The sequence below is a fragment of the Homo sapiens genome, chromosome 6 (genome assembly GCF_000001405.40).
Source record: "Homo sapiens chromosome 6, GRCh38.p14 Primary Assembly".
NCBI classification, from domain to species: Eukaryota; Metazoa; Chordata; class Mammalia; order Primates; family Hominidae; genus Homo; species Homo sapiens.
The window spans coordinates 12,083,509-12,096,319 of record NC_000006.12 but is presented as its reverse complement, the minus strand read 5'-3'; the positions used below and the strand labels follow the sequence as shown (position 1 = coordinate 12,096,319).

General features: G+C 33.5%; 1 protein-coding gene across 18 annotated transcripts in view; it reads right to left on the bottom strand.

Annotated features, from left to right (window-relative positions):
* Positions 1–12,811, bottom strand: part of HIVEP1 (HIVEP zinc finger 1) — a 204,356-nt gene that overhangs the window by 115,729 nt on the left and 75,816 nt on the right. For all 18 annotated transcript variants that reach the window (XR_007059258.1, XR_007059259.1, XR_007059260.1 and 15 more), the window contains one exon: positions 7,083–7,136. Coding sequence is in view for 14 of the 18 variants with exons in the window: in XM_047418701.1 (XP_047274657.1) it covers positions 7,083–7,136 (54 nt within the window). In the remaining 4 variants the exon portion in view is untranslated. The remainder of the gene's footprint in view (positions 1–7,082; positions 7,137–12,811) is intronic.

Genomic DNA, 12,811 nt, shown 5'->3' with positions numbered 1-12,811 from the left:
GACTTTTCAGAGCAAATATGAATATCATTCAGTATTACTAGAACAGTTTTCCTTACTATATTTCTTAACTCATATAAACTACCTATGTATATTTAGGCCCTCTTACTCTTATATAGATGGTGATATTCACAGAAATTATTTAAAAAATAAAAATGTTCTGGGGCTGAAGTATATAATGTAAGAGTGATACCACTACTGCTGAAAAGAAATTACTGGTAATGATAGTGGCAATTGTAGGTTCTTATTGTGAGACAGAAAATAATGTTAAAAAAAAATCATAATGCAAGCTGACCTAAAGTCTCTACCTTTCTCTATGGCCATTGTCTGAATCCTAACTCTTTTATCCTGGATCATCGTAACATTTCTGTAGGTGACTGCTATCATAATCTCATCATTCAAAAAGGTAAGTTAGAACAGAAATAAAACTGTACCAGAAATTCAACTATCACTATAACACAGATCTTATCTAGTTATACCAGGGAATAATATCAGAATAGCACAGTCCAAGACATGGGCTTGATTTTCCTCATGTACTTTCTTGGTTGCACTCCCTTGGGTTAAGTTATTTAACATTATTCAACTTCAGCTTTTTCATCATGGCAAAATGATTAATTTACTTATAAAATGCTCAATTTCTAACATAAAATCTATGAGTACTTTTATACTACATTCTCAGAAAATTTTGATTACATGGTATTCAGAAACAGAGAAGAAATAATTTTGGATATCCTAAATGGTTTTAAAAAACAATTAACAATACAATGCAATTAAGTGAGAAATTACTAAAAATAAATAAGATCCCCATCCATGTGGAGAAAAAAAAATTCCAACATGATTTGGGGTGGGGGGAGGGTCAGAGAAGAAACCAGCATAGAAAAGAATGAAACTAATAAATATAAAATTGTGTATGATACATCTAAGCAATACTTACAAGGAAATTAACAGCTTTAAGTGATTCCAATAGAGCAGAATAAAGGCTTAAAAATGAATGAGCATTCCAAGTTAAGAAATTTGAGTAACAGAACAAACCTGAAGAAAAAGACAGGAAAAGATAATAAAGAACAAAATTTAATGAAACTAAAAAGGATGAGGCAAGAAAGTATCATGAAAATCAGATGTTGGCAAAATAAAAAGAAAGTAAAACAGAAAACTGGCAACACTAATCAAGAAAGCGAGGAGAGGCACAAATCAATGATAGAAGCAATAAAAAACAGACATAACTACACACCCAGCAGAAATGAAAGAGAGTAAGAAAATACTACGACTGATTTTTTGCCAACAGATGTGACTGTTTAGATAAGATGGATAAATTATAAGAAAAATACAACTTCCTAAAACTGAAGAGAAAATAGAATGTTTGGATAATCCCTTATTGTTAAGTACACTTGGGAGTTAAAAGTCTACCCTGCAGTCCCTCCCAAAAGTCAAAATATGTTGTAAGACTTGCCTACAAAGGTACAGTTCCAATATCAAACAAACAGCTCCATGGGAATCAGAAGCATATAGTCCTCAGATCATCCTATCAAACTAGCATAACCTTAAAACAAAATCAGGCACAGAAAATTATAAAACATAATAAAAATATAAACCAATGCCTTGAACATGGATTCAAAATTCTTCAATAAAATATTAACAAATCAAATCTAGCAGTGATTAAGATTAAACATCATGACCAAATTGGTTTAAAGATACGTAAGTCACTTTTAAACATCAGAATGAAAGAATAAAGGACATAGTAAGATCATCTTTACATAGAAACAAAAGGTGATAAAAATAAAAATCCATTTATGATTTTTAAAAATAATTTCAACAAATAAAAAATAGAAGATAACACCTTTAAGCAACTAAAAAATATACAGACTCTCTTCCCACAAAAAAAGATAGCAAACATTTTAATGGTGAAAAATTAGAAGCATTTTCTTTAAAATCAGGAGCAAGTCTAAGATACCAATTTTACTGGAGCCAACTGAGCAAGATAAGAAAAATAAATAAAAGAAACAATTATTTCAAAATGAAGAAACAAACTTTCATTATTCCCAGCTGATATGACAAGAAAATCTGAAAACACCAGCAGACAATTTTCATAATGAATGAGAATCCAGCCAAGTAGCTGGATATAAAAATAAATATTCAAAAATATATTGCATTTTTATTTGCCAGGAACTAGAAAACAATTTTACAAAAGAAAAAATCATTAAAATGAGGAAAACACCAAATTCTAAGAAATAGAGCAGAAAAAAATAAAGATTCATATGGAGGAAAATGATAAGACACTAAAGAAAACACAAGTATCAGAAATATACAATCTTTTTTGAATAGAAGGCCTGAAAACTGTGAAGATGGTCAGTTTGCCCCAGATTCAATCAAACCCAAACAAAATTCCAACAAGTTTTTTAAAGACCTGATTCTAAAATTCAAATAGATGAGCAAAGGACTAGAAATAGTGAAAACATTCCTGAAGGCAAATAACACAAGGAATCTGCCCTACTGTATATAGTATATACTAGTTATTGCACACTGTATATATCAAGACAATAAAGTGGTAAGTAATTAACATACTGTGATATTAAAATATGGGTAAACAAATTCACAGAACAGAATAGAGAGCTAAGAAGCAAACCCACACAAAAATGAAAAATTAATACGAAACAGTAAAAGGAAAACATACTAAATGTTTCAGGGACATTTAACAATATTAGCAATGGTTACCCACTTGAGAAAAAAAAGAAACTTGAATCCTAACTTACACTACATTAAAAAACTAGGTATATTTTTTTAAAAAAACAAACTCCAGATGGGTTTTTAATCTGAAACGTGAAAGTCTTTTAGAAGAAAATATAGAAAATATATATATATACTTAAGACCTTGTGATAGAGAAGAATTTAAGACAAATAAAAATACAAAAAAATGAATCACAAAATCAAGAAATTAATAGGTTGACAGTATTAAAATCAAGAGCTTCTATTCACTTTAGTGAATAGAAGGCACTTTAAATGAAGTAAAAAATAAATCTGAAAAATAAAGCACATAAAATGAATAGTTATTCAAAATATATTAAGAAAAAGATAACTCAATTTTTACAAAATGGACAAATAATAATAGCAAGCATTTCAGTAAGGGGGAATACAAATGAAGACATGTTTGACATTATTAAATTAAATAAGCAGGAGGCCATTTGCCTGAGGCTGTCTCCTTACCTCGAGTTATGACCTAACAAACTACAACCTCATTTAGTGCGCAAACACAAACCTAATTTAGAGTATTTTTTGTAAAAAATAGCTACTTTTCAGCCAATCACAGGAAGTCAACTGATCAGATCATGCCCAAATAAGGCAAATACTTCATCACACCCTACCTGAACAAGGCAGGTGGCTAGTTGCAGCCAATCAGGTGATTTCTCACTTTGCTTGCGAGTTCAGCCTGTACGAGCTTGCTGCTCACACTGCTCGGCAGAGCTCTCTGAACCTCTTCTGGTTCTGAATGATGCCTGATTCATGAATCATTCTTTGTTTAAATAAAATCAGTTAAACTTTTTGTGTCTAAAGTTTTTCTTTTAACATTAGTAACCAGGGAAACAAAAATCAAAGCAGAATAAAAGAGGATTTAACATCTATCCAATTAGGAAAAAAAAGACTAAACATACCATGTACTTGATAGTACAAAATGAATTCTTGGACACTGATAGTGGGAATGCAAAAAGTTTCCCCAAAAAAAACTCTGGAAAACAATATAGCATCATTTTGTAGAGCTGAACATTCACATTCCCTATATATGCTCTAGAAACTCACACATAGGCACTAGGATATAAAAATATTCATACCTGCATTGTTTATGATAGCAAAAAGGTGGAAATAACTTAAATATCAACAGAAGAATGGGCCAACAATTTCATACAGTGCAATATTACAACAATGAAAAGTAACAGCTATGTGCAACGGCATGGGTGAATCTTAGGAACAACGTTAAGTGAAAAAAGCTGCAGAAGACTACGTACAATATGGTTTCATTTAAAAGTTCAAACTCAGGCACAACTAGAAAATATATTGTTTGGGGGTACATACTTATATGACATAATTGTTTTTTAAAAGGACTGAAATGATGAACACAAAACTAAGGACAGTAAAACCTCTACAGAAGAGACAATGGGATGAATTGCCGATCAGCATGTGGGTGGATACAATGGTACTGGCAACATTCCCGTTCTTAAATTGGGTGTGAGAATCAAAGATTACCATGTCATTCTTATGCTTTGTAATTTAATATGCTACATATATTAATTTATATGTGTCAAACATTGTATGATAAAAATTTAAGAGTATTAAAATTAAAGCTTGAGAAAGCCATAAAAGCTCTCCTAATCGATCTATTTATTTCTTCCCAGTTAATTTTATTCATATTCCATTACCACATCTGTGACAGTCACTATTTCATTTAAATCCCACTCAACAATTTTAAAAATAGTGTCAAGCACAATGTGTGTTAAGAATCAGGAGATAGCACTGTAAGGAAAAACATAATGACTTTATGGAGACTTGTGTGAATGTTGCATCCTTATCTCTATCCCTAAATTGATTAAAATCAAAATAAATCAAATTAAAGTCATCTGATTTTCATTCAAAAGAGAAAAAGAATAAAATAAGTACATTAACATAATTTAGTGCATTTCTTTATTCTATTGGTGTATGATAGGCAAAGTCAGTTTCTTTACTTCCATATTACACTAAACAGATTTAATCCTCCTTAAATTATTAAAATACAAGAGGAAATGTCTTTTTTAATCTATTAATGAGGAAGTTGCTTTTAAGAGCCTACTACTATGCTAGATACTTCTGAAAATAAATTAGTTACTTGTCCTAATAATTACAAAAAAGAGAGAAAGGGAGAAAGAGCCTCAAATAAGTTAAAGACCACAGAACCTTTAATGGAGACAAAGCCTTAGAACTACAAGCAGTGTTTAAAAATAATTTTTTTAAAAAGCAATGTGGCTAAACTTACAGGGTGAAAAAACCCAAAGTACGTCAGAAAAACAATGAAAAAGAGATCTATTGTAGATGACTTACCATAATCTAAAATGAACGTCTATATTTTTAAAGTATATTCTTTGATGGAAGAAATGAATATCCTTTAAAATAAAATAGGTATCAGCAAGAAAAGGTTTGAAAAATCTCAACACCACTGTTACTCAGACTTTTCATGTTGTTAAAGAGAAACTGATATTATTTCTTACTTATATTTGAAAGGGAAAACTATTTTATTTTTAATTTCTGTATAAAAATGAAAGCCAAGCAGTAATTCTATGCAGTGAACTGCACAGAACAATGCTCACTTGGTATTCATCCTAGCTCTTAAATAAGTGTAGCCTGCCAACTGTAGCCCAATCCATTATTCTGAACCTCATTATCCAATTTCTCTTTCTAGAACCTTTGTTTCATTTCCTCCTTCCTATCAGGCATTTAGTTCACTGTTCTGAAAACTCTTGCCAAAGAAGTAACAAGGAAAAGGAAGACAGGCTCACATTTGCTTTGCTACTAGAAGCAGCTCTAAACCATGACTAGATGTAAAAAAAAAAAAAAAAAAAAAAAAGGCTGGCTATAGAGAAAGAAAACTTTAAAAGTATGGCCTCTTATAACCTGAGTGTCTCAAATGCCTCATGCGTTTAAGTCAGTCAACCCTTCAAAGGGACAAGGTGGCCATGGAGACATCTTTACTCTTCTATGCTTGTTTTTCTGTAAGAATGTCATTAGAGGGTCAGATATACATGGCCCTTCCAGAGCTCCCATGGAAGGAGCGTGGGGTGAGGAGAAGGCAGACATGAGGGGTGCTACATAGTACCCCATAAATGTAAGACCAACCCCAAACCATCCTGAAGGCTTCACAGGCTGGTTTAAGGGATGGAGAACTGGGATGGCAGGAAATTATTTCCCCTACAGATACCTGCTCAGTAGTCTAACTAGATTTAAAAGCTATTTTTTGTAAAACGGCTTTCAACTGGAATCCTATTTAGCTAAATTACTCTGTCAAAATAGTCTGCTGTAATTTGAAGATACAAGGCAAAATAAATAATAAATCACGGAATACAAATGTCATAAAGAGAACTTTATTTGCCCACAATATTAAAAGCACATAATCAATTTTGCTCATTAACAGATAGTGTTTCAACAGTATTTACCTCACTACCTGACCATCCCTACATGCTCTTCTGCATCACATCTATTTTTTTATATTACTTGGAAAGATAATCTATGTTTTCTATGGTGAAAACCAATTTTTTCCTTTCAAGTTTTTAATTTTAATACAAAATTACACCCATTGCAGCTGGTGAAATAATACAAAGGCATATAAATGAGTGGGTCATCTTCCCTTGCTCCTCTTCCCACTATTAACACATATCTGTGTATAAATCCTTTCCAACATTGTCCAATCTCACAGAAGCCTCTGTGTGTGTATGCGTATATATATATACATATAAATACTTGTATACACACTTGACTTTGTTAGTTTTCACAAAAAAATAAGATATTTTACATACTACATTGCAATGTTATTTTTCTTATTTGATAAGTTATCACCATCAACTAAAGTAATTAACACTTTTTCAAAGCTGCGTGATACCCCAAAATATGAGTATACTACAAATGATTCAACTGTTCTTCCACTGACTGGTATTCAGGCTGTTTTAGTTGCCTTAGGTTTTTGTCGCTACAAAAAAAAAAAGAAAACTGCATCACATGAATGCACACATGAACACACATGCATGGACACGGCCAACTGTGTTCCTTATATTGGTACTTTTATTGCTACAGGACAGTCTCACAAACAGGACTTTCAAAAGAGCTGCAATAACCTTTCACACTTCTACCAGTCATACATTAATATGTGGGAAACAGTTATAGAATGTGCTATGTGGCTAAAATGTTTCATGAAGCAAAGTCCACAACATTTTAAGTATCAATAAGTTCAAGGGGATTTCTAATTTTGTGATATGTCTATACTGATTTATTTCATAAGGCTACATTTATGAGGTATATGTATAGGCATCATTGCAAGAATAAAGTTTACATTCAAGCTGATTTTAATTTACCTTTTTTTGAAACTTCTGCCCCATTAAGTTCTTTTTGTGCTTCTTCAATTTTGTCTAAGAAAAACAGAGAAAAATTTATAAATTAATTTACCTTAAACAAATAAGAGTACAGTAAAGCAAACATACTACTTTTAAACAGTGTCAGATACCTAGTAAAAAATGTGTTGAATAAATTATGATACAGATGTGTATAAACTGTTGAAGGATATATTCCCTTTTAAATTCATAATTTTAATCATTTCTTAGTCACAAGGACTATTTCCAATTAATAAATGTTTCCATAATGCAAATAATTAGTACACTTTAGATACTGAACTACAGCTTTAAAAGTCTAGTCATCTAATCAAAGTATCTAAAAATAATACTATCTTTACATACAAAGTACCTAATAGGGATTTTAGAGATATAACAAATGCTTACTAGCTTAGAAACAACCAGATTAAGCAAAGCTAAGACTTAAGACAGAAGACAGAAAAGGATGGAAAAACAGAGACGAGGATGAGCTGAAATATGGCATGGCAGAAAGTGTCTATATCCCTTGCTGGCAGCATAGAGCTGACAGCATCTATGAAGTATGAGGACAGAGTACTGCATTCAAGAGGTACTATACACAACTCACTGCAGAACTGCTACACATGTGCACAGTTTTGTCAGACAGATGTAACCCAGGAGCAATAACTAAGAGAATTGGGAGCAGTGCCTTGCTCCTGCTGTTCTTTGACCTGGGGCTCTGGGCACAACTGGATTTTGTAAATATGTGCATGCTCTATTTCAATAATAATTAATTTAAACTTTATAAGGATATACATACTTCATGACATGGGCAGTAATCGATTCCAAATTTAACACACTGGTCTAGGTACTTATTAAAATGGCAAAAGGAACAAATTCCCAGGGTACTATTTTGTACTGAACTGAAGACAATATTGATAATTATATAACATTCTACATATCCCAAATGTGTAAGTACAATTTAAATAAACGCATCAGCTCAGAAGTTGTCTCCAATGCTGACCCTACCGCTGCTCACTGGCCATGGAAGATGTAACCTCCAATATGGTATCCTACTCCAAATAAATAAAAGGCAGACACCGCACACCATGGGCCCTTCAAACTCTGATCTACCTGCCTCTCTCCCTATCTTGCCAGAAAGGCCAAGAAATTCAGAGAACCTTCTATTTACAGATCAAACGTCTTTCAATTGCATATTGATCCAACTTGCCAAGGCAAAGTGGGAGAACAGAACAAAGGAAGCAAGCTAGTTTGAAATATAGGACATTACATCTCAACAATAGTCAAAAATAACTAAATTTTCATCCTGATAAATGTATCGCCCACAGCAATGTCTTATTTGCTTCCTGCGAATTATCAGATCCAGAATATAATTTGAGAGTAGTACAGGCAATCTTTGGAATAAGACAATTTTTCTTATTTATAAACTTTAGTTACTGCTCATGAAACGATGAGTGAAGTTGAAATAGTCCTGGAAAAAAACACACATTAAATGCAGAAACTGGATCCTGTGCTCAGTGGTAGTTTTGCTTCAGACAGAAAAATATGGAATGCTTGCATGAAATCCGTATTAACACAGTGTAAGTAACAAAAGGCTAAGACCCACTTTTAAAAAACGAAATACATGAATTACCTGCAGATTTTCAAACTATAAATAATAAACAAATCACATAACATATAGTACTTGAAAAACATGTAAAAGGACTTTTATTACCAAAGCACTATTATTTCTATGCCAGTAATTCACCCAAACTTAAGAATCATAAATAATATATATGTATTATATATTCACAGTAGTAACAACTGTGCTTAATAGTTTATGTGCACATAATTTTGCATTATATAATCAAAACAACTTTTCTTAATAGAATCAGTTGTGGCTTAAAGCAACAAGAACTCATGATTAACAAATACTTACAGAATAGCTGTTGTTAAGTAATTGAAGTTTGGCCACTTTCTGTTTGCACTTCAACATAACAAAACTCTTACAAAAATAACTTGTTTATATCTGCTTACAAAATACTAGTCTCTGCTTTTAAAATTTTCAACTAAGTTACCTTTTTATCTTGATAATAACAGTATATAAATTTAGACTACTGATTTAGGACAGCTACTACAATAAATATAATAAGTACCTCCTCAAATGCTTCTACCTATAGCTCCACGTCAATAGGTAAACAATCTCCAATTAGCTTGTAACAGCCATTATAAAAGCTTTTGCTTTGGGCAAGTTTTATTACAATTCCTGTTTATATTTAGTGTGTTTTTATAATTCTCCTGGTAAATATGATGTGTTTTAAAGACACTCTCCAAAATTACAAAGAAAGTAGTCATTTACTACACGCTCTTAACTGATTCATACAAGACAGTTTACTGATATGTAAAGCGTTATTTATATTTTTTCACCGTGACAGAGAAAAAATATAGTTTTACATTTCAACTAATATCCCACGTGCATACATATTATGCATACATGTAATTCCCTATTAAAAATGAAAAATCCTGCCCCTTTCTCAACTACATTAATTTCAGGGCTGCCTGCTAGACTCTAAAGCTACAGCTTTAAGTTCATCAATATAAGAGGCAGTTTCCAACACATCCTTTTTGCCAAACCTTTACCAAGGGTAACACTCCCCAGCAATCACATCTCTCACCGTAAGTCTTGATTTAGGGGAGGGGGAGCAAAGGGAAAAAAATGGCATGTTAGACTCTAAGACATCCCCCATCATGCCCTCCCACCACCACTGGGATCTGGGTTAACAATTTCCCAAAGAACTATACATTCAGAAATAAATAATAGTTTCTCTGTTGCTGTTACCTAAAAATAAAAATAGTTATACAAACAAAAAGAATACTCATACCACGTCAGTAAATCTGAAGCCCATAATATGCATTCTTACTATAATGAGTTCTTACTGTATTTAAATTAACATGTAATCTTAATTCATTCAATTTTTACATTAAATACACTTGGAGGAGCCATCACTTGGAAGAAAGATCCCAGCAAACACGTGAATGGATCTGTAATCTTTAAGATCCAGAAAGGCCAGTGGCTAAAACAGCAATAGGCTAGAAGAGAAGTAACTAATAGTATAGACTAAATTTTTGTCCTACAACTATTAAAAATGTATACTATTAAAAATGTATACACAGAAACTGTTAATGATAAAGGCTATAAGAACTATCTTGTGTGATACCTTAAATTAAAAATTTTGTGTAAGAAAATGATGCAAAAATATCTCATTTTCAACACTCACAAATAATCATAAAAGAAGTCTCTTTATTAGTGAAACATAATCTGAAACCACTGAACAAAAGGAAAAAGTCCTAGAGCCGTTAAGAAATAATAATCTTTCTTTTAGGGTTTCTGGAAGAAGACTGAATTAAAAACAAATCATTTATAGAAATTACATAATCTTCAAATAAGGATTTACAGTAGCCCCTTGCTCTCTGACCATTCTTCAGTCTATGCTAAAGTGCGTGTGGGGAGGGTCTCCCTCACCATCTCAGAGGCCTGCCTCTCATTCCCCAAGAGCCTTGGGCTCTAATGCATCACAGGTTGGAGGAGCAGCCCACTAAGTTGTTAGGATTTGGTTCAATGAATGCTGTGTTTTTACTGCAATTGCATGCCTGCTCTGTGTCAGGTCTAATGTGAACAGTTACAGGGAAAAAGGTATTAGGCCCTCCCAGAGGGGCTCCTACTTTAGTGTATCCTTACAAATCATTTTAATATCAATTTGATGATAAATAAGGCTCAAACTCCCCTGTGTGGTTAACGAGGTTCTTTGTAATCTAGTTACCTCTTTGCCCTTTGCCACTTCTGTTCTCTCTTCAAGATCAGGCACAGTGAAGTCCAGGCTCAACCAGACCCTAGGACTTAACCCCTGCTTTGTCCTCTTCCCTGAAGGTGCCTCCCACACTGTCCCTTCTCTGTGGGGCGTCCTTTCAAGATGGGGCTTCTCTGGGCAAACTTCCCTAACACCCTTGTCCAGAGCCCATCACTCTCTCTGTACCACCAGTAAACGTTGTGCACAGAACCCTGTTTCTCTAGAGCTGCATAGCTCATAATCGTTAGTAATAATGGCAATTAGATGGAGCTGAGTGGTTTACTGATCATATAAACACTGACAAGACAATAACCTGTGACACAGAACCTGCATTCTGAAGAGAAAAAGAGAAAAAAGCACCTACACACAAACTGAAAACTGGCACTGCGTGGTTTCACTTAAGAATCTAGCATTTTATCATCTTTAACATTATAAATTATGTCAACATTTGGGAAGCTGTATCAGTACCCCGAAAGCACTCGAGTCAACTATTGCTCCCTTAGATCTATAAGAGATTTAAGTCATGTCTCACCTACTTCTATCAGCTCATCCTTCTCTCATGCTGTTCTGCTGGGTACCATATAGCCTCTGCGCTAGCACCCGTACGTCCTCCCTCTTCGTTTAGCCTTCAAAACTCACATTGGTAACATTTTATGAAGTAAATCCTAATGAACTGTAAAAGGCACCTCTGTTTACTGACAGAGGTACCATCTGATTGAAAAAAGATCACCATATGTAACTGTACTATTTTTACTACTGAATAAAAACATAATTCCTACTTCCTCTCATTATATGCCAGTGCAAGCACCTTACTCTTACTGTGAACTGTAAGTGTTATTTCAATAGCACTAAATAAATGACAATGGCATAAAATTAAAATTGTATCCAGCACACACAGCCATTTATACATGCTCTTGTAAGTGAAGATTATTCCTAGTCTTCACTACTAAGTAAACTGAGTAAACCCACCTTTACAATCAACCCATTTTAACCTCCGAGTTTCACATCTCAAATACCGCTGGACTTACCTGTCTTTGAGGAAGATGACACGCTGTTATAATGCTGAAAATGATAGTCTAGACTAGCAATATTTCAAACAAAAACACTGCCTGCAGTAAGTGAAAAAGAAATCAAAGACTCAACTCTGTGCTAATGAATTTGAAAATTGTGATGAACTAGTAAAATCGTAGAAAAACACACAACTACCCAAACTGATCCAGAATGAGGAAAGCTTGACCAGAATAACCAGCACTGACAAAGCTGAGAGAGTTGCCATAGCATTACACTGAATTTGCTTTTTAAAAAAACTCACTGGGCCTGGAACCTTATTATCAACTTCTTTCAAATTTTAAAGAATAAAGCATGTCCTAAACTGCTCCAGAGCCCAGGATAACACAGAAGGCATTCTACAGTATTTCATACAGCTGGCATGCCTCAGATACCAAACCCAGCCACAGGGGCAGAAAAACCAACACCACACATGAACACAGCTTTAACAATCTATATCAAGAAGCACATTCACAGAAAATAGGAAGCAAAGCTATTTCAATATTCAGAAGCAACATATTATAATTTTTCACAGCAACAGGTCAAGGAAGGAGAGTAAAGATAAGTTAAATAATGTCCCAAATGTACTTGATTAAATCGTATCTATCTTTAATGTTTCAAAAAACCCTCAATATTACATAGAAAAGGATATTCTTCATCATACTAACCAAGTGTTATCCTAACAAATATCCTGAGCAAAGAAATCAGTCAATAACCATGTTGTCTGTTCCCCTGCAGCTCTGGTAGGCAGCCTTCCCTGACATCTCCCTCAAACTCCTCTGTGTCCCTGGCATTCTTTTCCTAACCCTAGAGCAGCAGCGGTCCTCACAGCATATTCTGAGA